This window comes from Homo sapiens, chromosome 6 (assembly GCF_000001405.40).
Source record: "Homo sapiens chromosome 6, GRCh38.p14 Primary Assembly".
Taxonomy (NCBI): Eukaryota; Metazoa; Chordata; class Mammalia; order Primates; family Hominidae; genus Homo; species Homo sapiens.
In genome coordinates, this window is record NC_000006.12 from 70,506,518 (window position 1) to 70,532,175 (window position 25,658).

The following is a 25,658-nucleotide window of genomic DNA, read 5'->3' on the forward strand; positions in this document are numbered from 1 at the left end:
AAACAGGTGTTGGGCCAGATTTGGTTCTCAGGCTGTAGTTTGCCAACGCCTACATTATAAAGCTAAGAGGAGAGTTGATACCTCTTCCACAAAATAAAAGTCTGTTTGAAGGTTATTTTTAGTGACCAGTAGAAGTAAAGGCCAGTAGCAAGAAATAGTTTTACATGGGAAAGGTAATCTTCAGGGTATTTTTTTCTCTTTTTTTTTTATTTTGTTTTTTCTTTTTTTTTTTTTAATTTTTATGTTTTTATTTAGTTCCCGCAAGCAGACAGGGTATTTTTTTAAAAACTATGTTTTACTAGAGAAAAATATTATAGTTCCATTAAATTGTTCTGTTTGTGTCACCTGAATGGAAGTTCTGGGAAGAGAATGGTCGCAAGGATTAGAGGCAACTTTATAGCTTGATATTCAATGGGAAGGAAGCTATTCTGGGTGGACTAGGAACAAGAAGGTAAACTTAAAAGAGCAGCTGGTGAACACAACTTTGAGAAGAAGGGACAAAGAAAGGGGACTAAGACAAAAATCAGGTTTGTGGAAAATTAGAATACCAAAGATAAACTTTGGAATTTTACCTAGCGCTTCCCTTTTCTCACCCCATTCCAGATACCAAGATAGGGCCTATTTTAATTGCTAAATGAATCATGGAAGGATAATAAAGACAAAATAAGAAAATGTCCTAATGTTACTCAAGCAGGAATAAGCTTTGCCCTTCCCTGCAGTGTATCACAAAAACTGTGGACATGGTAGCATACTGTGTTATCTGGCTCCCATTTATGCAATTCAAGAGGAACCTTGCTAATAAAATATCTTGTTCTTCTGAGAATACAGTGCTAAGCCTACAGGAACTGAAGTAGTCTAAAGGTCATTCAGTGTTTGTACAGGGACAGACTTAGCTACAATAAAGTATATAGGCTGTCTGATAACGAATTCAGAAGCAGCACAATTGAGCAAAGTCACAGAAATAAACCTCTGATATGAAATCTCTCCTTATTGGTGTGAAAGCAAATTGTGAAGCAAAGAGTTGGACTAAAAAGAGGAAATGTAAATCTATACTTGAAAAGAACAATTTAATAAATTAATTTTATACTGGTTCAACTATATTATTTAATATTAAGATCCAGTAAGTTCAGGTTTTCAAATTTTTGGCAAATTAAGGCATCCAAACTTGTTGAGCTTCTGTAGTCACATGCCGTACACATTCATGCTACATCATAGAGACTATTGTGTGTGAATAGTTACAGGTGACCCATACTAATTAAAAAGATAAAATATATTTATGATAAGTGAATAATGTCTTTGTCATTTCAAACTAAAATGGAATGATCAAGTGGGACAGTTTACACAAAAAGCAAAAAAAAATCTGAAATCATCCTGAATTTTATGTGTCAAGAACTGTAAAGAATCTTGAGATTTTGCCCTCCTAATTACATGCTAACAAGTTAGCCTACCATAGATTGATTCATGTATAGCAGCAGAAAACTTGAGACAAAGGACCTTATTAATGGTAGGATTATCATTTGTTCTCTTTCCTTGAGCCTAGATTTCCACAGCTCAACATAAAAAAGGCGAGGTTCATACTAGTGGATTGCAATACAGGAGAAAAACTCTGTGCTTAGGGATCCAAAATATTTTATAATGCACAGCAAGCTTTATCCACCAATGCTGTAAGTGGACCTGTTCTTTGCTCCAAAGGGAGACATATCTCTGTTTCCCCAGGCTTTTCCCTAATACGAGCATCCTTGAAAAGATAGTCTGTAACAAAGACAGTCAGGATTTCTGCTCACAAGCCTTTCAGAAATGCAAGAGACACATGAAGAATTGTCTCTCAACAGTATGTCTTATAGAGAACTTGCTTTCATTGCAGTTTATTTCCTCAATAATTTTACTGATCTTTATTGCTAGTGCTTCCAAAGATACCTCTTGTTGTGTTATAATGCTTCCTATTATAACATCAGAGATGCCATATTTAATATTGATTGTAACTTGTGTCTGGAATTATAAGTCCAATATTAGGGAGATAATATATTCAGTTTGCAGATCAGAGAGCCAGATTTTGTGCTTTGTGCTAGCATTGCTGCCCTAACCAAGCTTTTGTTAGGGTTAGTGGAGTCAGACAAAGTAACAGTTGAGTTCACATTCTTTCAGAGACATGATGGTTACATCAGCTTGTATAAATCTTTAGTTCTATCATACAAAATATTTATAAATAAAGATCCTGAAGCCAAATACATAGGGTTGCCAGATGAAATGCAGAATGCCCAGTTAAATTTGGATTTCAGGTAAACAGCAAATGATATTTCAATATAAGTATATCTGGTGCAACCCTATCAAATAGCATACTAAAGCATCAAAAGGTTTAATTGTGTTTTACATATTTCTGTATGTGAAGTATTAATATATCTTAGATACGGAAAAGAATTCCTTGCTCAAGAAGAAAACAAATTTTAAGCTTATTCTTGTGTGGAAGCAGGGCCTTTTGGAAACATATGGCTTTACTTAAAATGCGTGCACTGTTATTTATGGTTCTAACCTAGAGCAAAAAAAATCCAAGTTGATATGGTGACTCTGCTATTCAGTTACTTAGTATTCTGTAATATTGCTCATTTAAATTCATCACATTAACATGTCTTTCCTGGCTGGGCACAGTGGCTCACACTTGTAATCCCAGCACTGTGGAAGGTGGAGGTGGGAGGATCACTTGAGGCTGGGAGTTTACAACCAGCCTGGGCAACATAGTGAGATCTTGTCTCTATTAAAAAAAAAATTATGTCTTTCCTTGAACTATAAAATGGAACTCTGCTTCTATGAGGTTAGCCTCTTTTATTCTTTGACTAACATCTCTCTCACCTTGTAGTTGCCTGTTTATGTTTTTGATTTCATAGCAACAGGTTTGTTACTAATGCTTTATTGAAATTACAGTGATTCTTCCAGGACCACTGCCTGTAAGCCCAAGGATTCATCTAAAAATTGAAAGGAGACCTTCATAGATGGATAGACTATATTGTGCTCTTGGTTTTGTTTGTTTTTCCCACAGAATGTTTATGGAAGGACCATAGTAATTTATTTATATTTTTACTTAATAAACGTGTATAGCAGTTATTATCTGTGTAAGGCACTAATTGCTTTATAAATGTTAACTCATTTAATCATCAGTACAATCTCATGAAGTAAATATTTTGTCATTCCCATTTTATAAAAGAAATATTGAGGTTCTAGAAAGGTGAAATAACTTAGCCAAAGTTGCATATCTTGTACATGGTAGTGACTGGATGGGAACCCAGGCAGTAGATGCAGACCTGATATTTCCACATTTCATCTCTTTCCCATGAATTTGCAAAGTATTAAAAACGAAGTAAATTAAGACTTCAAACAAAATAGTAGTACAAACTTATAACATTAGAATACCGTTTATTATGACGCTGGTTTGCTATACTGTTTATATTTTACAAGCAAAAAGAAATACAATCTCAAACATAGTTTTCAGTGTCAACTTGGTGGTATAAAATATAGTTTTGGATTTTTTTTCCAGTTGAATTTAAAGAGAACATGCCATTTGCTGCATTCACTGGAATTAATCATAAAAAAATACTGTAGAACACTAAGTATGCTGCCGTTGGTCTAATAGCTAGGAAATCAAAACGTTTATTGACAGCACCACCGAAGTAGAAGATTCAAAGGCATAGATGTTATGTAACATGATATATATAGGTAACTGTTTCCTAAGATTTAATTTTGTTGGGGGGCGGGTGGGGATAACAAATTTTGAGGGTAACAGATTTTATGTAATGCAAATTAACCATTAACAATTTTAATGTATACAATTCAGTGGCATTTAATATAGTCACAGTGTTGTGTAACCATCACCTCTGTCTTATTCCAAGACATTTTCATCACTCTGAAAGGAAACCGTGTACACATTAAGGAATCACTCCCATGTCCCCTTTCCCCATTCCCTGGCAACCGCTAGTCTCATTTACTGATCTTGGAAGTTTCATATAAATGTAATCATACAACATTTTGTATCTGGTTTCTTTCACTTAGAATAATGTACCAAGTTTCACCCATGTTTTACATGTATCCATATAATGATTTATTTTTGTAGCAGAATTCCATTGTATGGATATACTACATTATTTTATCTGTTTGTCATTGATAGACATTTAAGTTCTTTCTACCTATTGACTACTATGAATAGTTGCTGGTATGAAAATTTGTGTACAAATATTTGTTTGAATATCTGTTTTTAGTTATTTGGGGTATATACCTAGGAGTGGAATTGCTGAGTCATATGGTAATTCTATGTTTAACTTTTTGAGGAACATCCAAACTGTTTTCCACAGCAGCTGCACCACCTTACATTCCCACCAGCAATGTACAAGGATTCTAATTTCTTCATATACTTACAAACACTTGTTATATTCTGCTTTTTGTTTTGGGGTTTTTATCATGGCCAACCTAGTAAGAGTGAGATGGTATTTTCATTGTAGCTTTGATTTGCAGTACCCTAATGACTAGTGACCTTGGACACCTTTTCATATGCTTATTTACCATTTGTGTATCTCCTTTGGAGAAATGTGTATTCAGGTCCTTTCCCCATATTTTAATTGGGTTGTTTGTCTTTTTGTTGTTGAGTTTCAGTTATTTATATATTCTGGTAACTAGGCCCTTATCTGATACATAATTTGCAAATGTTTTCTTCTATTCTATGAGTTGCTTTTTAGCTCTCTTGATAATGTTCTTTGGTGCACAGGACATCAGGGCAGCAGGAAAAATCTTAAATTTATTTTTCCCCAGTAAAAGAAATCCTGTAAATTAAGATAAATATATTCAGCAGTTATCGTCATGATAAAAAATTTTAAAGATATAAGGTAACCCTTGAGAGAAAGTATTGTGCTTATATCTGCTACTAATACAGTTTTCTTGGAATACTTATTACATGCAATGGAAAAAATCCACATGGTAAGGGGGAGAGAAAAGGATTTCTAATCTCAATTTAATTAGTGTATATCTATGTTACCATAGATTTTCTTGCCTGATATCAGGATATATTTGATTTTTTAAAAAATTGAGAGTCCTCAGAGAGGCCAAAGCCCAGAATCTTTATATTCAGGAGATCTAGGTTGTATAAACACTTGTACAGTCTTGTGTTACTTAATGATTAGGATACTTTCTGGAAAATGCTTTGTTAGGTGATTTCATCATTGTGTGAACATTATAGAATATACTATAGAACATCATAGAATATACTACCCAAAGCTAGATAGTATAGCCTGCTACACACCTAAACTAGATAATACAGCCTGTTACTCCTACGCTACAAACCTGTACAGCATGTGACTGTACTGAATACTGTGTTGCAACACAGTGGTATTTGTGTATCTAAGCCTATCTAAACATAGAAAAGGTACAGTAAAAATATGGCATTGTAATTTTAGGGGAGACCATCCTATACGCGATCCATCATTGTCTTAAACGTCATTATGTGGAGCATGACTATATGAACTTACTGAATTATCATTATAACATATTTTGAAAACTACTCAATACTTCAAGAAAATTATTTCATTACTTCACAAAATGACTTTGTGCTGCTTTTCGGTCAGTTCCTACACCCCATAAGCAACTACTGTCTTGATTAGAAATAGAATTTTCATTTACTTCAGTCAACATAATTTCTTTTAGATTAGCCCATGTTGTATATATTTGTAGTTCATTTCTTTATCGTTGAGTAGTATTTTATGGTATCGTATATCAGAATTCATTTATCTGTTCCCCTTAACTCTTCTGAGTAAAGATGCTACGAACATTCTTCTACAGATCTTTTTTGTGAACATAAGTTTTTATTTCTATTGCTTACATACATAGGAGTAAAATTGCTTGGTCATTGGGTAGATTTATCTTCAACTTAATAAAAAATCATTTTTTTTTCCAAAATGGCTATACAGTTTTAAACTCCTAACATTAACGTATGAGAGTTTCAGTTGTTCCACATGCTTGTATTGTTTGGTGTCGTCAGTCTTTAACTACTATAGTAGGGGTAAAGTGGAATTTCATTATGGCTTTATTTTGCTTTTCTCTGCTGACTCCTGATATTGAGGGTTTTTGTTATGACTTTAGTTTTGTAAAATGTTAAATTAGGTTGCCTTTTTATTACTGACTTATTAAGATTATTTATATATATTCTAGTTATGGATCCATTGTCAAATATATTTATTAAATTCTCCTAGCCTGAGGTTTATATTTTCGTTTTCTCAGTGATGTATTTTGATGAGACTAAGTACAATTTATCTTTTTTTCTTTTATGTTTAGTACTTTTGTGTCCTAAGAAATCTTTGCCCAAGTCATGAAAAATATTATTCTGTATTTGCTTTAGAGAGCATTAGAATTATAGATCTTACATTTAGGACCATGGGTCATCTTGAATTAATTTTTTAATTTGGTGTGAGGTGTATGGGTCAAGATTCTTTCTTTTTTTTTTCTGTTCAGGTTTTTGACATCATTTATTGAAAACACTTTTCTGACTCTATGGAATTGCCTTAAAATCTTTGTTGAAAATCAATTGACTAATAAGCATGAGTCTATTTCTTGACCTTTTTTCCTGTTGCATTGGCCTGTTATACATCTCTATGTTAATAAATACCACACTAACTTTATTGTTATAATATTATACTAAGTCTTGCAGCCAGGTAATAGCATAAGTCCTCCAAGGTTTTCTTCTTTTTTGAGATTGTTTTGGCTATTCTAGATCTCTTGCAATTCTATATAAATTTTAAATCAAGTGTTAACAGCTCTTTTAGAATTTGTCTAGCAGGTTTTCTGGTTTTTATTGGAAAACCTTCCTCCACAGAAAATTTTAAATCATGTCAATTTCTTTTTTTTTTTTTTTTTTAATCCTCTTGGGATTTCAGTTTACATTAAGTAAAATCTATAGATCAATTTAGGGACAATTACCTCCTTAACCATATTGATTCGGACAATTTGTGGGCATGATATAGCTTCCTATCTAGCTCCCCTTTTATTTAGACCTTCAATTTCTCTAAAACCTGCTTTTGTAGTTTTTATGCCTGAAGTTTACTCATAAGCATTTTATATTATCTGATACTATTATAAATGGTTTTTAAATTTTATTTTCCAAATGGTTGCTACTAGGATGTAGAAGTATAATTGATTTTTGCATATTGACCTTATACTTTATTGCTTTGCTAAATTTTTTAGGTAGAGTATTCTATAAATCTCAATCAGCTCAAGTTGGTCAATAGCGTTATTTAACCTTGGACTGACAGTTTTCTCCCTCTGTTTGAGTACTTTAAAAAGTACCATTATCTTCTGGCCTCTGTAGTCTGATTAAAAAGTCAGTTATTTATACTATTTTTCCCCTCTGGCTGCCTTTAGGATTTTTCTCCTTGTCTTTGTTTTCCAGCAGTTTGACTATGATATGCCTTGTTGCAGTTTTATTGTTTTTGTTGTTGTTTGTTTTTTTTTGTCTTTATCTTGCTTAGGATTTGCTGATATTCTTGGAGCTCTAGGTTATTTTTATCAGTTTTAAAGAGATTTGCTATTATATCTTCAGATATATTTTCTGCCCCATTTCTTTCCCTCCCTTCTCCCTCTAGTACTCTAATTATATGTATATTATATCATTTGATACTCTTGTTTTTCAGCAATTTATCCTCTATGTTCTTCAGACTGAATAATTTCTGTTATTCTGTCTTCAGATTCATTAACTCTTTTCTGTAGCAACTAATCTGCTCTTAATCTCATCTAGTAAAATTTCACTTCAGATATTATATATTTTACTTCTTAAATTTCCATTTGGTTCTCTTCACGTATAATACTTCCATTTTTATGCTGAGAAGCCCTGTCTGTTTACTGTTTATGACCAGCTTCTTTCAGTCATTGGGCAATTTATAATTATTGTTTAAAAGTCCTTGCTTAGAATTCTAGTTTCTGAGCCAGCATGGAAGAGCTTTGGAAGTTGTTACTCCCATCCTAACCAGAAAAAATCTGAACGAACTGAAAAATCAACAACTCTTCTTAGATTTATCGGAGAATTAAGGTCACAGGCAAACTCCTGTCCCCAAAATTGGTGAGTCAGATAGCCAGTTACAGAGAATCCCATCTTAATGGAACAAAAACCCATGAACAGAAATCACCACTGTAGCCAGTCCTGCAATAGGAAAACTTCTAATTGATGATTCCTGGAGACTCAGTATGGACAGATGAGTTAAAAACTCCTGGCAGGGGTGAGGGAGGTCTTAGGGGATCCCATACTTTTCATGACTTTCACTTCCAAGAGCCCTCCCAGTTTCTTTCAGTGAAAATTGCAGAAAAGCCCTCATACTTCCAGATGGTGGGGAGGGAATGTAGCCATTTTGAAATACATCCAGAACATTCTGTCCTTAACAAAATGTGCCTCAGTAGAAACTATCTTATCAGAGCTTCACTGACCTGGGAGGAAGAGAAATATCCAACTCTAGCCTTCTGTATGGGGGAAATAAAATATCCGTTATCATATGTTATTAGAGAATTACAAATCAAAACAAGATAACCACCGTATACCTATAAGAATGGCTATAATCCAAAACACTGACAACAGCAAATGTTGGTGAGATGTGGAGCAACAGGAATTCCCATTCATTCCTGGTAGGAACACAAAATAGGATGGCCACTTTGGAAGACACTTTGGTAGTTTCTTACAAAACTGAACATACTCTCATCATATAATCCAGCTATCACACCGCTTGGTGTTTACCCAAATGAATTGAAAATTTATGTCCACACAAAAACCTCCACATATAGCAGCTTTATTCATAATCATCAAATTTGGAAGCAACCAAGATGTCCTTCAGTAGGTAACTGGATAAACAAACTGTTGTCCATTCATACAGTGGAATGTTATTTAGCAATAAAAAGAAATGATCAGTGAAGCCATGAAAAGACATAGAGGAAACTTGAAAGCATATTGCAGGCTGAAAGAAGCCAACCTGAAAAATCTACATATATGTATGATTTCAACTATACGACATTCTGGAAAAAGAAAAACTATGGTGACAGTAAAAAGATCCGGGTTGTCAGGGGCTCTGGGGGACAGAGGGAGGGACAGGTAGGTAGAGCACAGGGGATTTGGGGGGCAGTAGAAGTATTCTGTATGATACTGTAATGGTATATATATGTCATTATATATTTTTCAAGCCCCATGTACCACACCAAGAGTGAACCTTAATGTAAATAATGGACTTTAATATTGATATATTAATATTGGTTCATCAGTTGAAACAAATGTACCACAGTAACACAAGATGTAAATAAGAGGGGAAGCTGGATGTGTAGGGGTGGGGAAGAGGGCAATATGGAAACTCTTCGTACTTTCTGATCAGTTTTTCTGTAAACCTAAAACTGCTGTAAAAAAAAAATAAAGTAACTTTTTAAAAAATTGCCTACTTATTCAAACATTTCAATTATCTTGGTGTCTCTTTCTATTGGCTGATTTTATCTCGATTGTAGATTATATTTTCCTGATGCTTTGCCTGTCTAGTGCTTGTTCCTCAGTGCTTGAAAAAGTCACTTCATGTATTTTAACCAGTTTTACAGTTGTTTGCAGAAGGAAGAGGGTAAGTTCTCCTCTCATGGTCTCAGTTGACATTAAAATAGAAGTTTTCAGCCCCGGCTGTACATTTGAATTTCTTGGGAACTTAGATCAGTGCTGAATGAGGTCCAGACCTAGGGAACTTTTTAAAAGTTGTGCAAGTGATTAACAGGGTTAGGGTATCCCTGAGTAACTGTGCTAGAAAGAGTGGGAACTGAAATTTGGCCTGTCCTCCTTGGAGTCTAGTTGCATCTGCCTGTAGAAGGAGCATGTTTTTGAAATTTATACTTTAAAGCTGCCATATGGATTAGCAGGATCCTAGATTCTAATGTGGACCCATTACCTTCCAGTAAGGAAACCAGAGTGTCAGTGAATTCTTATTAGCTTTTATTGAGATTTTAATATCATAAAATAGTATTTTCTTTTCTTTTTTTTTTTTTTTTTTTTTTTGAGACAGAGTCTTGCTCTGTCACCCAGGCTGGAGTGCAGTGGCGTGACCTCGGCTCACTGCAAGCTCCGCCTCCTGGGTTCACGCCATTCTCCATCTCAGCCTCCCAAGTAGCTGGGACTACAGGCACTCGCCACCATGCCTGGCTAATTTTTTTGTATTTTTGGTAGAGATGAGGTTTCACCGTGTTAGCCAGGATGGTCTCGATCTCCTGACCTTGTGATCCGCCCATCTCGGCCTCCCAAAGTGCTGGGATTACAGGTGTGAGCCACCGTGCCCAGCCATAAAATAGTATTTTCAACAGTATTGATGGAACTTATATTCTAGTAGAGGGGAAAAGTTAGGAATAGCTTGTATAGCCATTCTTTTCCACTTTAAGAACCTCTTTACAATGATGCATTATTTACTCAAAACATTATGAAGTTTGCATTTTTAAGAAGAGATACTTATTGCTTAAACTACTTGATCTGATATTCTTTGAGTATAACTGTGAATGTCTATTTTCTAAATAAATTAAAAGTACTTCTTTCTGGGAACATATTGCTTATTTATAGTATATAATTTGATGCTTTTATATTTCGCAAGGTTTAGGCAGACTTCCAATTTGGCTATAACTATAAGCATAAACAATATTTTATCACCTTTATGTGTATATATACAAACCACATCTAGCACTTCCAGTAAATAAGTCTATCCAGGTGGGGGATGGTGGCTTATGCCAATAATGCTAACATTTTGGGAGGCTGAGGTGAGTGGATCACTTGAGCCCAGGAGTTCCAGACCAGCCTGGGCAAGATGGGGAAACCTCATCTCTACAAAAAATACAACTATTAGCCAGGCATGGTGGTGTGCACGTCTTTTTCCTTTTTTTTTTTTTTTTTTTTTAGATGGAGTTTTGCTCTTGTCACCCAGGCTGGAGTGCAATGGCACGATCTTAGCTCACTGCAACCTCTGCCTCCCCGGTTCAAGCAATTCTCCTGCCTCAGCCTCCTAATTAGCTGAGATTACAGGTGCCTGCCACCATGTCCAGCTAATTTTTGTATTTTTAGTAGAGACAGGGTTTCACCGTGTTGGTTAGGCTGGTCTCGAACTCCTCCCCTCAGGTGATCCACCTGCCTCGGCCTCCCATAGTGGTGGGATTACAGGCATGAGCCCCATGCCCAGCCAGTAGTGTGATCTTTAATGGGTAATTTTTTTTCTTTAAATATTCTAACCATAATCTTTGATGTTACTATTGGAATTGTTTTGAAGCACCACAGTTGTGCCCATATATGACAGTGAACTTAATACATGTTGTGTTTGTTCTGACTGTTTCACCAACTAGCATTCCCTTCATCTCTCTTCCTCTACTTGGGTCTCCATATTCCCTGAGAAACAGCAATATTTAAATTAGGCCAGTTAATATGCAATGATCTCTAAGTGTTCAAGTGAGAGGAAAAGTTGCAAGTTTCTCAATTTAAATCAGAAGCTCGAGATGATTAAGCTTAGGGAGGAAGGCATGTCGAAAGCCAAGATAGACTGCAAGGTAGGTCTCTTGCACCAGTTAGCCAACTTGTGAATGTAAAGGAAAAGTTATTGAAGGAAATTGAAATGCTTTTCTAATGGAACGATAAGAAAGTGAAACAGCCTTAGTAGTGATGTGGGAAAAGATTGAGTGTTCTGGATAGAAGATCAAACCAGCCACAACAGTGCCTTAAGTCAAAGCCTAATCCACAGCAGGGTCCTAACTCTTTTCAATTCTATGAAGGCTGAAAGGTAAGGAAGCTACAGAAGAAAAATTTGAAACTAGCAGAGATTGGGTGTTGAGGTTTAAGGCAGGAAGTCTCCATAACATAAAAGTGTGAGGTAAGGCAGCAAGTTCTGATGGAGAAGCTACAGCACATTATCCAGAAGATCTAGCAAAAATAATTGATGAAGGTGGCTGCACTAAACAACAGGTTTTCAATGGAGATAAAACAGCCTTCTAGTAGAAGAAAATGCCATCTAGGACTTTCATAGCTAGAAAAGAGAAATCAGTACATGACTTTAAAGGGCAGGCTGACTCTCTTGTTAGGAGCTAATGTAACTGGTGCCTTGAAGTTGAAGCCAGTACTCATTTACCATTCCTAAATTCTAGAGCTCTTGAGAATTATGCAGAATCTACTCTGCTGCATTAACAAAACAACAAAGCCTAGATTACAGCACATCTGTTTACAGCATGGTTTACTAAATATTTTAAGCCCACTGTTGAGACCTACAGTTCAGGAATAAAAAGATTCCTTTCAGAATATTATTGCTCATTAATATTGCACCTACTCAGCCAAGACCTCTCATGGAGATATACAAGGAGATTAACGATGTTTCCATGTGGACTAACACAACGATCTATTCTTCAGCCCATGTGATGCATGAGTCATTTTGACTTTCAAACCTTATTACTTAAATACATTTTGTAAGGTGTTGGCTGCCCCAGATGGTGATTCCTCTGGTGGATCTGGGCAAAAGGAAAACTTTTGGGAAAAAATCACCGTTGTAGATGCCATTAAGAACATTCATGATTCAAGGAAGGAGGTCAAAATATCAACATGAACAGAAGTTTGGAAGAGGTTGATTCTAACCCTCATAGGTAACTTTGAAGGGGTCACGACGAGTGGAGAAAATAACTGCAAATGTGGTATAAATAGCAAGAGAACTAGAATTAGAAGTGGAGCCTGAAGATGTGACTGAATGGCTGCAATCTCATTATCAAACTTGAATAGATGAAGAGTTGCTTCTTATGGATGAACAGAGAAAGTGGTTTCTTGAGATAGACTCTACTCCTGGTGAAGATGCTGCGAACATTGTTGAAATAACAAAAGATTTGGAATATTACATAAACTTAGTTGAAAAAGCAGTGGCGAGTCAAGAGGATTGACTCAATTTTGAAGTTCTACTCTGGGTAAAATGCTGTTAAACTGCATCACATGCTAAGGAGAAATCTTTTGTGAAAGGAAGAGTCAATTGATGCAGCAAACTTCATTGTTGTAATTTAAGAAATTGCCATAGCCACTGCAGCCACCCTGATCAGCAGCTATCAATATCAAGGCAAGACCTTCCAGCAGCAAAAGTAGCCGAAGGCTCAGATGATCATTAGCATTTTTAACAATAAAATATTTTTAAAGTATACACATTGGCTTTTTTAAAAAAGGTATAATGCTATTGCACACTTAAGAGACTACAGTATAGTGTAAACATAACTTTTATACACACTGGGAAACTGAAAAAATTCATGTGACTTGCTTTATTGCAATATTCACCTTATTGTGGTGGTCTGGACCCTAACCCATAATATTTCCAAGGCATGCCTATACTAAACATACTTTAGTATAGGTATGATATGATATATATGATAATAATTTAGTTGTGAATTTTATTTAATGTGCTCAGCTTTTAATGCACTAGTATTCCATATTATTAAAAATGCCAGGATATTGGAATATCCATTAAAAGACCTCAAGTATTAATTTTTTATTTATTTTGTGTGATCTTTTATAGGGGAATTCTAGGCTTTTTTTTTAAGGACGGATATTTCTTCATCACGTTCTCATCATTTCTTGTAACTGCCTGTGTACTTACCTCTGTAATTCATTTTTCTTTGTCTAATTTGCTCTTTTAATGTGGTGTGGATTGGGAAAGCAAATAACTGAAACCAAGTGCAATTGTATCAACTAGTAAGTATAAATCAGCTTTGTAATGAAACAATTTTATGATAATTTTGCTATGAGTTAGTGCAAGGACGTAAAAAACATTTGTTCAGTAAACATTTGCAAGGTGCTTATTTTTTTCAAGGTAGCATAGATATTAGATAATCTATCAGATATAGACCCTGCACTCAAGATTAGAATCTAATCTGAATGCACATGTATAGAATTGTAATATAAATACTGTGTTAGCAATTTGAACAGCATTATTAGAATGAACACAGATACAGGAGTATTTAACTCTGTGAAGCATTAACAAATACTTATTTTGAATGCTTGGCTGTCTTCCTCCTAGCTTTTGAATAAGTGATGTTGCCAAATAAGTTTTTTTTTAATTGGGCACACAAAATTCATTTTTTATAAATATCAAAAATGCATGCCAAAATACATACATATACAAAGCAGTAATATATATATTCCCCATATTTGAAATTTAAATTTGTAAATTAAAAATTTTTTTCTGTCAAACTTTTGCCTGAAAATTAGCTGTATTGCCATCAGGTGGCAGTCATACCTTAGTTATGGCCACACACTACAGTTAATACCCTTAGTTGTAATAGCTACAGCATGATAATTATGCTGAGAGTGAATTTAGAAAGAACTTCATTTGGGTGCATACAAGAAAGATTTCTGATAACAAGGAGTCTTAATGCAGAAAGGAAAAGGTAAGTGTTTGGAGCACAAGAACTGGAGTTTCTCAAATCTTCGTTTGAATCACAGGTTTATCGCCTACTAGCTATGTTATCTTGGCCAAATAATTAACCTCTTTGTGTCTTTGTTTCCTCACCTATTAAATGAAGATAATATCATCCTAGAGGTTTTTTTTTGTTTGTTTTTTCTTCATCATTCAATTTGACATTGAGTTTTTATGTGGTTTAAGTCAAAGAATTAGAATAAAGTTTTTAGTGTGGAGACTATGAGGTAGAGTACTGTCAAGAAATGATCATTATTGTAGGACTTAGAGAAGGTAGAGAGAGAAGGAAAAGCAGCTAGCGCCAGTTTCGTAGGTCCAGCTGCAACTGCAGGAATCCAGATAACTTAAAGATGCGTTTTTTTCATGCTTTATAGCCCCAAAGGAAATCATCTTAATAGCCAGACAGGCTGTTATTTTTCTCTCACCTTTCCTTTAATGTTGGAGAGGGGAAAAAAGCATTTGGACCACATATGAAAGTAAAGACACAGAATGCATCCTTCTCATTGATATCTTCTTTTCCCACTTCCCTCATTGACTTGTTTGTCTGAAGACCCAGGTTTATCTGCTTAGGGAAACAAGTTTAGTAAGTCAGAAATTCACCTGGCCGGATATTGATGACAAGTAAAATAGGTCTCTAATTTGTTGGACATTTAAAACCAAAGAATCCTAGATCTTACTTTGTTTAGAAAATAATTGTAGATGTAATATAATTTCTCCTCCCTGTACTGTCCAAATAAGACATCTTTTCTGGCTCCTGTTGCCTAATTTTGCTCCAGTAGCTGACAAAGCCTTTCCTTTCATAATTAAAAATGAAAGGGTTAAAATACAAATATAATGGAAGAAATGTTCAGCTAGATTCAACATGTATTTATCAAGTACTTGATTCTGTAATATGCCAAGATACATGTTTTGTGGGGATGCAAAGGTCATCAAAACATAGCTTTGCCTTTTTTTTGTTTTGTTTTTTTGAGACAGGAGTTTCACTCTTGTCGCCCAGGCTGGAGTGCAAGGGCGCCATCTTGGCTCACTGCAACCCCTGCCTCCTGGGTTCAGGCGATTCTCCTGCCTCAGCCTCCTGAGTAGCTGGGATTACAAGCACCTGCCACCATGCCCCACTAATTTTTGTGTTTTTAGTAGAGACAGGGTTTCACCATGTTGGCCAGGCTGGTCTCGAACTCTTGACCTCAGGTAATCCACCCACCTCAGCCTCCCAGAGTTCTGGGATTACAGGTGTGAGGCACCACGCCTGGCCCATAGCTTCTCTTCTAAAGAACATTACACTTTAGGAGGGGAGATGATTTATTTTAAGACAAAAGGTGGTAAAGGCTATGGTGGTAATCATAATAGTTTATATTTATATATGCTTTCCAGATTTATTTCATGCAGTACAAAAATACATTGGCAACACTGAAGAGGGAGAAGGGAAGTTTAATTCTGACGGGTGATTGTGGAAGGCGTAATGGAGGCAGTTTCTCTCCTTACCATAAGATGCCGGATTGACTTTTTAAATACGTCATGTTATTAATACTCTCCTTTGGAATTTTTTAGGTACGCAGATTTTCTGAGGCATTCTTTTGTTTTGAGCATCCAAGAGAAGCTGCCATTGCATACCAGGAACTTCAGTGAGTAGTATAAATTCAAAATTAAAATGATATTACTTCCTTTTACATAAGATACCTGTCTCAGAATTTATCAGTGACAGAATATACAGTATTAACAATATAAGAAATTAGGAGAATTTGAATTTCAGAAATCCCATCTATAATCAAATTGTTTCATCTTATTAGTTACTTCATTAAAGTTCCATACTTTACATATAAAGAAGCATAATGCACTGTATTCCTCCCTCCTTTTTTATCAGATCTACCATAATCTTGGTAGTCTCATACAGCTTTGGCTGTAGCCTTCCATTTAGCCATATTCTGTCTTTATTTTCACAGGCCAGAATTTCTTATGTTCATCCTTTTTTATTACAGATTTTCATATATACTGTCTTCTGTAATTGTAAATGATTTACAATTAAAATATCCAGAACAAATGCCTTCTATCTTTCCTACTGAGTAGATTTAGTCCTGGTTTTCTTTGGCATTAAGGAATATTTTGAGGACATTATGCTGAGCAAAAAAAGCTAGACATTAAAAATTGAATACTGTATGATTCTACTTATATGAAGTTATAAACAAGCAAAAGCAAGATGGAAAAAAGACAGGACATGGTTTTCTTGGCATTGACTTGTGCTGGATTGGGAAGACATGAGGGAACCATCTGAGTAGATGGAAATGTTCTGTATCATATATCCATTTGTCAAAAGCATACAGCTAAGATTTATATTTTAATGCATATAAATTATACCACAAAAAAAATCCTGTAAATAATAATAGAGTATCAGGGTAGGTAGTGAGTGCTGATAGAAAGGGTATATGTTAACTGTTGAAGTTCGGAGGTATGTATATGGGGTATTTTATACTATTCTTTGATTTGTTTGAAATTTTCCATAAGACAGGGTTTTCTGTTTTAACTGTTTTGTATTAGAAAATTATACATCTTGTTTTAAAATAGCTGTTAATTTTATTTGTCAATATATGTTAAGTAGAAACAGTAGAAATGAAACACGTCTTTTTCCCAGCACTAGCATCAAATAATTATTAAGCAGTTAAGCTTTTGGTATTTCTCTTATATGTGATTTGCAGCAGATTTAGAAGTTGAGACATTAAGCATAGAAATTCACTTTAAAATAACATAAGAAAGTATGGAAGAATATAATGGGAATTACATAAATAATTAGCAGTCTGTAATTTAATAAGTCAATAATTTATTGCCAACAAACTATCATTTTCATTTTACCAGTTTTTATCGCTGACCAAGCAGCTCTCTCATAAGAAGGTTATGTCTTGCAGATGAGGGATAGGAATTGAGGAGGGAAGGGGAAAGGGTAGATTCTACAAAGGGGAGTTGGGTATAATTTTTCTAAATTACAATCTGACTGAAGAAATATTTTTCAGTGCTCAGAGTCATCTACAGATGTGCACCGCTATCAAAAATACTTCCTTCTGCAGTTCTCTTCCACCCTTACCTATTGAATGTAGTGAATTAGATGGAGATCTCAATTCATTACCTATAATCTTTGAAGATAGGTATTTAGATTCAGTTACTGAAGGTAAGTGTAATCTAACTAAAATATACAAGCTATGTGTATAGTTTTCAGTATATTCTTCCTAATATACATAAAACCATTCCCTAATGTGGAATAGTTTTTTTCCCTCTCTAGTTTTATTTATGTTTGAGGATATTAGAAGTTATAGTTAGAAAAAGAAGTCTTAATCATATGAGTTCTCACACCTTGTTTTAAACCTGAATCTTTTTTTCTTTGGATAAAAGACTTAGATGCACCCTGGATGGGAATTCAGAATCTTCAGAGATCAGAGTCCAGTAAAATGGATAAATATGAGACTGAAGAAAGCTCTGTAGCAGGACTTTCTAGCCCAGAGTTGAAAGTCAGACCTGCTGGTGCCTCCAGTATTTGGTATACAGAAGGTGAAAAGCAGCTAACAAAATCTCTAAAAGGAAAGAATGAAGAATCAAATAAATCCAAAGTTAAGGTTACTAAGCTTATGAAAACAATGAAATCTGAAAACACAAAAAAATTAATAAAACAGAACTCTAAGGATTCTGTGGTTTTGGTAGGCTACAAATGTTTGAAAAGTACAGCATCAAATGATCTCATTAAATGCTTTGAAGGCAATCCTTCACATAGTCAGAAGGAAGGTCTGGATCCCACAATATGTGGATATAATTTTGACCCAAAGACCTACATGAGACAGACAAGTCAAAAGGAAGCTAGCTGTTTGCCAACTAATACAGAGAGAACTGAACAAAAGTCTCCAGATATTGAAAATGTTCAACCAGACCAGTTTGATCCTTTGAACTCTGGCAACCTAAATCTTTGTGCAAATTTGTCCATTTCAGGTAAACTTGATATCTCCCAGGACGATAGTGAAATTACACAAATGGAACACAATCTGGCATCCAGAAGGTCATCAGACGATTGCCATGATCATCAAACAACCCCATCTTTGGGAGTTAGAACAATTGAAATAAAGCCCAGTAATAAAGATCCTTTCAGTGGAGAGAATATAACTGTCAAACTAGGACCTTGGACAGAGCTTCGACAAGAGGAAATACTTGTGGATAATTTACTACCCAACTTTGAGTCCTTAGAATCTAATGGTAAATCTAAATCTATAGAAATAACATTTGAAAAGGAAGCTTTGCAAGAAGCAAAGTGTCTTTCTATTGGAGAATCATTAACTAAATTACGAAGTAATCTACCTGCCCCTTCTACAAAAGAATATCATGTTGTAGTAAGTGGAGATACAATTAAGTTACCAGATATTAGTGCCACATATGCCTCATCTAGATTTTCAGATTCAGGTGTTGAAAGTGAACCGAGTTCTTTTGCGACACATCCAAACACTGATTTAGTCTTTGAAACTGTGCAAGGGCAAGGTCCTTGCAATAGTGAAAGATTATTTCCTCAGCTTTTGATGAAACCTGATTATAATGTAAAATTTTCATTAGGAAATCATTGTACTGAGAGTACAAGTGCTATAAGTGAAATACAGTCATCTTTGACATCCATAAACTCTCTACCCTCCGATGATGAACTGTCACCTGATGAAAATTCTAAGAAATCTGTTGTACCTGAATGCCATCTAAATGATAGCAAAACTGTATTAAATCTAGGAACGACTGATTTGCCAAAATGTGATGATACTAAAAAGTCAAGTATCACTTTGCAACAGCAGAGTGTTGTATTTTCAGGGAACTTGGACAATGAAACTGTAGCAATACATTCCTTAAATTCAAGCATTAAAGACCCTTTACAATTTGTTTTTTCAGATGAAGAGACTTCCAGTGATGTGAAAAGTAGTTGCAGCTCCAAACCTAACTTGGATACTATGTGTAAAGGCTTCCAGAGTCCTGATAAATCTAATAACTCTACAGGGACAGCAATTACATTAAATTCAAAACTGATTTGTTTAGGCACTCCTTGTGTCATTTCAGGTTCCATTTCTAGTAATACAGATGTTAGTGAAGATAGAACTATGAAAAAAAATAGTGATGTATTAAATCTCACACAGATGTATTCAGAAATCCCTACAGTTGAAAGTGAAACTCATCTGGGTACAAGTGATCCTTTTTCAGCCAGTACTGATATAGTAAAGCAAGGGCTTGTGGAAAATTATTTTGGTTCTCAAAGCAGTACGGATATTTCTGACACATGTGCTGTTAGCTACAGCAATGCACTTAGCCCTCAGAAGGAAACTTCTGAAAAAGAAATTAGTAATCTTCAGCAGGAACAGGATAAAGAGGATGAGGAGGAAGAGCAGGATCAACAAATGGTTCAAAATGGGTACTATGAAGAAACAGATTATTCAGCTTTGGATGGAACAATAAATGCTCACTATACAAGCAGAGATGAACTAATGGAAGAAAGACTTACAAAATCTGAAAAAATAAACAGTGACTATCTGAGAGATGGTATAAACATGCCTACTGTCTGTACTTCTGGTTGTTTGTCCTTCCCGTCTGCACCACGAGAGTCTCCTTGTAATGTTAAATATTCTTCCAAAAGTAAATTTGATGCCATTACAAAGCAGCCAAGCAGTACTTCTTACAACTTCACTTCTTCGATTTCCTGGTATGAAAGTTCACCAAAACCTCAAATACAAGCGTAAGTAATGGAACGTAATAGTACCTGCTGCTAAATATATACATATATATATACACACACACACACATACACACACACACACACACACACACACACACACACACATATATATATAAAATCATAGATAGTGCTAAAGGATTGAGTGTCTATTTTGTTGTCTGGTTTCTGTAATACAAAAGTGCTTCTTTGATGACTATCCGAAATGGAGAAATGAACATAATATACCCTTGGCCAGACAGACCTATAGTTGCTGAATGATCGTGCTGTTCTGCTGTTCTATAGGATAGACATTCCTGATACAGATTTTCCAATGGTAGTTTTGTGTTAGAAGTATGGAATAACTGAGCTTAAAACCCTTTTTTCATCAGTCCCTCATTTCTCCTCCATTAACTTCCAGACAAAAGCCAAGTTTTATGAGTTTATCTAGGAAATAAGGATAATATTAGTTAAATGAGTAACAGGGTAGTGGAAACTTCTTGAACTTACCAGATGCTGATTGCCTTCAGCTAAGTCATTGGTTTCCAGAATTGAGATTTCATGTACCAGTAAAATATCCAGAAAAATCTGGCGATGATACAGGTTTACCAGCGTGCACTGGTTCTTAAAATATTCTATTGCCTCAGCCAGACTGAGTCATAATATTTGGGGTAAGAGGTCTTGGCATGTATATATATAGAGAGAGATTTTTAAAGTTCCCAGATTATTCTGATTTATACACAGAAATTAAGATACATAGTGTCTAAAGCTAGTGAAACCACTGAGGTAACAATAGCCAATTAAAAAATTGTGATATGCAGGGAAAATAAAGTTTATATCACCGTCTGGTTACTTCAGATTGTCTGAGTCATCAGAAAGCAATGATCTCTAATATAGACTTTATATATTTTTGGCCAGCTTATCCTACTCAGTTTAGTGTTCATCAGGTTCCTCTTCCAGCTTCACTTTATCAGTCCAAATGATGTATGTTAAATAGTTAATAATTTTTGATGTTTGCAATCCCCAAATTGGTTAGATTGTCCGTCATTGCAAACGAGTATATACCACTAATTGTATGCAGTCACATTCCCCTCTTCGTTCTGCTCCTTCTTATTGGTATTTTTAGAGAAAAATACAAATAACCTAATCTGCTAAATACTGTAACTCCATTCTCACTGTTACATTTTGTAAATCACTCCTTCCCTTCCATTTATGCAAGATTAAAAAGGAGCAAAGGGGATAAGATTTCATTACAGGATAAACATCAGATTATCACCTCTCCAGTCCCTCTCCCAGCTTTTCTGTGCATACAGTGTTAAATTTTGCAGAAAGTATAACTTCACTCAGAATGTTTTCTTAGAGTTGATTTCAAGTTTAAAAGAATATTTTCAAGTGATTTCAGGTTTAAAGTGTTCATTGTATTTGATAGAATATGTACTACAAATAATAAAGAAAATTACTCTCTGATTTCTAAATCACTTAGGTGATGCCACATATTTTCATGGTTTTAAAACCAAATATTGTTGGGTTTCCACTTCTACAATTCTCTAAATTCAGGAGGGTTCTAACAACTGAATATGATCCTTAGTAAAGAGTATCTTTTGTATTTTGCTTCAGCTTCCTTCAGGCAAAAGAAGAACTGAAGCTACTAAAACTTCCTGGGTTCATGTACAGTGAAGTTCCTCTGCTGGCATCCTCAGTACCTTATTTTAGTGTAGAAGAAGAGGATGGTTCTGAAGATGGAGTACATCTGATTGTCTGTGTGCACGGTTTAGATGGTATGTGACATCTATGGATGTAACCCAGAGCAACTCAATATATTTTTTTCCTAATAGATCTCATTTAGTTTCATTTAGTCTTTGAACTAAAAAAAGATTTTTTAATTGCTTAAATTAATTGAATCTTAAATGCATTCTGAAACAGAAATATGCTTAATTTTAATTATCCTAAGTGTAATATTAGATTCCTTCGTAAGTAAATTTTCCATGGAACTGACACTCATGTGCCAACATTTTGTTTAATTTGGGATTTTTTTTTTCATTATACTTTAAGTTCTGGGATACATACGCAGAACATGTAGGTTTGTTACATAGGTATACACGTGCCATGGTGGTTTGCTGTCATCTACATTAGGTATTTCTCCTAATGCTATCCCTCCCCTAGTCCCCCACCCCCTGACAGTCCCCATTGTGTGATTGTCCCCCTCCCTGTGTCTATTTGTTCTCATTGTTCACCTCCTACTTAGAAGTGAGAACATGTAGTGTTTGGTTTTCTGTTCCTGTGTTAGTTTGCTGAGAATGATGATTTCCAGCTTCATCCATGTCCCTGCAAAGGACCTGAGCTCAGTGGATTTTTTTTTTTATCTTCTCTCTTATTGTTGGTTTTGCCAGCTGTCACCTCCTGGCAGTTATTTTGTCTCCCTTTGATAGTCTTTCTGGTTCCCTTTTACCTGGCTGCTTTAAACTTTGTGTGCTAGAAAAATCGGTATTTCTAGAAGTTAAAATTTCATTAATTAAGTTATAAAAATTAAATTATAAATACAGGTACCTGGCTTTAGTGCTGGGGTTTTATGACAGCTGTTTTGGTTACTCAACAGTTTTTTTTTAGATGTAGGAACTGTTAGAAGATGCCAAATATCTCTAGAACAATGCAATATTACTGTATTATGAGATTCTATAGCAGCAAACTAGATTTTTGTGGATTATGAAAATATTAAACAAATGTCCCTGGTACTAAATTGTCATAAAATTGGAGATTTTTCTTTAAAAAAAAAAAAAAAACCAGACTCTCAAGAAATAAAATATTCTCAATGCTAACTTTTCTTCCCTCCCTCCAAACAATAAAGTCTTCAAAGAATTATCCCCCAAGAAAGACTTCTGGACCCAGAATCTGCCAGAATCTCTGGCAAATTCTTTTTTAAAAATTTTAAGAAGCAAATTATCCCTATGTTACATAAATTGTTCTAGAACAATGGAGAAAAAGATAGAAAGCAGCCCATTTTATTCCTTAAAGTTAACCTAACCTTGTTACCAAATCCAATAAAGATATCACACCAACACCTGCCGCCAAAAAACAGTAGACCAGTCTGACATAAATATACTTAATGGGCCGGGCGCTGTGGCTTACACCTGTAATCCCAGCACTTTGGGAGGCTGAGATGGGCGGATCACAAGGTCAGGAGATCAAGACCATCCTGGCTAACACAGTGAAACCCCGTCTCTACTAAAAATACAAAAAAAATTAGCTGGGCGTGGTGGCGGGCGCCTGTAGTCCCAGCTACTCCGGAGGCTGAGGCAGGAGAATGGCATGAACCTGGGAGGCGGAGCTTGCGGTGAGCTGAGATCGCGCCACTGCACTTCAGCCTGGGCTACAGACTAAGACTACGTCTCAAAAAAAAAAATAATAATAATGAATTCAAATATATTTAACCAAACTCTAGCACTTGGAATTAATATATTAGAGTAAGTTACTATAACAAATAAGGTTTATTTCCCAGAATGGAAGGATAAGTAAGTATAAGGAATTTCAGTAATAAAATACCCTACATCAGCAAATCAAGTAAGAAACTTCATAAAATTTAATATCCATTCCTAATTATTACAGTAAGCACAAAACTTTGATCTCAATAGGATTAGTCTATTTCCTTAATGTGATTAAGCATATATATTTCGAGCCTATAGAAAACTTATAGTTTTTGGTGAATATTAGAGGTACAACTTTTAAAATGAAGAATAAAAGAATTATCTCTGTCAATGCATTAAATCATAAAATTCTAAAAGATAAATATCAGGTAAAATAAAAATTCAGCAGTTTATAACGACATGCTTATATTGTTAGTAAACCAAAGGAATCCACTAAACTATTTTTGAAGATAATTATTTTTATATTTATATATGAGAGGAATTCAGAAAAAATGTGGAAAAATAAATTTGCCAGGCATGGTGCTGGCCAGCCTATAATCCCAGCTCCTTGGGAGGCTGAAGCAGGAGAATCACTTGAACCCAGGAGGCAGAGGTTGTAATGAGCCAAGACTGAGCCGCTGCACTCTAGCCTGGGCAACAGAGTGAGACTCCATCTCAAACAAACAAACAAACAAAAATTGTGGAAAAATAGAGTTAAAAGATAAAAATAGAAATATAAACTTCATTTCTCAGTGCAAACTCTGTCTAGTTCAAGACACTTTTGTAAGCAATTATACCAGCCATTCTAGTAAATTTCCAAGAACTGAGGGTCCTGGGAATTTAGTCATGTCAGTGCCTTCTTTTTTACACATTAAACCAAAGAAAAATGGATCCCCTTTACAGAGTTTTTAAGATAAGAAAACAAAGTAGTCAGAGGAACCAAATCAGGACTGTAAGATGAATGCCTAATGATTTCCCATCAAAATTGCCCTCTTCATGAGAATAATGAGTAGGAATATTGTCATGATGGAGAAGGACTCTCTGGTGAAGCTTTTCCAGGCATTTTTCTGCAAAAGCTTTGGCTGATTTTCTCAAAACACTCTAATGATAAGCAGATATTATCATTCTTTGGTCCTCCAGAAAGTCAAGAAGCAAAATGCCTTGAGCATTCCAAAACACTGTTGCCTTGACCTTTGCTCTTAACTGGTCCACTTTTGCTTTGACTGGACCGCTTCTACCTCTTGGTAGCTATTGGTTTGATTGTGTTTTGTCTTCAAGATGATACTGGTAAAGCCATGTTTCATTTCCTCTTACAATTCTTTGAAGAAATGCTTTAGGATCTTGATACCATTTGTTTAATATTTCCATTGAAAGCTCTGCTCTTGTCTGCAGCTAATTTGAGCACAATGGTTTTGACACCCATTGAGTGGAAAGTTTGTTCAACTTTAATTTTTCAGTCAGAATTCTGTAGGCTGAACCAATTGAGATGTCTAAGATGTCAGCTATTGTTTGTGCTGTTAATTGTCAGTCATTTTTAATTAGGGCATGAACAAAATGAAGTTTTTCCTCACAAATTGATGTGGGTGGTTTACTGCTGTATGCTTCATCTTCAACATTGTTTTTTCCCTTCTTTAAACAAGTTACCCATTTGTAAACTGCTGATTTCTTTGGGGGCATTTCCCAATAAACTTTTTTGTAAAGCCTCCGTTATTTCACCATTCTTCCGCTGAAGCTTCACCATAAGTGTGATGTTTGTTCTTGCTTCCATTTTAGCAGAATGTTGTTTGATAAGGTTTCTTTTTAAACTGATTTCTTTTTTTTTTTTTTTTTTTTTTTTTGAGACAGAATCTCACTCCGTCAGCAGTGGCACGATCTCGGCTCACTGCAAGCTCCACCTCCCAGGTTCAGACCATTCTCCTGCCTCAGCTTCCCGAGTAGCTGGGATTACAGGCGTCTGCCACCACACACGGCTAATTTTTTGTATTTTTAGTAGGGTTTCACTGTGTTAGCCAGGCTGGTCTTGATCTCCTGACCTCGTGATCCACCCGCCACAGCCTCCTAAAGTGCTGGGATTACAGGCGTGAGCCACCGTGCCCGGCC

At 35.3% G+C, this 25,658-nt stretch overlaps 1 protein-coding gene and 1 pseudogene across 54 annotated transcripts in view; both read left to right on the top strand.

The window, feature by feature from the left end:
• The window catches only part of FAM135A (family with sequence similarity 135 member A), a 147,667-nt gene that overhangs the window by 93,010 nt on the left and 28,999 nt on the right, over positions 1-25,658 (top strand). For 18 of the 54 annotated variants that reach the window (XM_047419165.1, NM_001330998.3, NM_001105531.3 and 15 more), the window contains 4 exons: positions 15,996-16,069; positions 17,450-17,604; positions 18,414-20,181; positions 21,775-21,935. In XM_047419165.1, the coding sequence (XP_047275121.1) occupies positions 15,996-16,069; positions 17,450-17,604; positions 18,414-20,181; positions 21,775-21,935 (2,158 nt within the window). Of the gene's footprint in view, positions 1-2,919; positions 3,100-15,995; positions 16,070-17,449; positions 17,605-17,825; positions 20,182-21,774; positions 21,936-25,658 lie in introns of those variants that run through there. The other 36 variants (XM_047419158.1, NM_001351607.2, NM_001330999.3 and 33 more) reach the window with 5 other exon arrangements.
• Positions 6,778-6,836, top strand: RNU7-48P (RNA, U7 small nuclear 48 pseudogene; annotated as a pseudogene).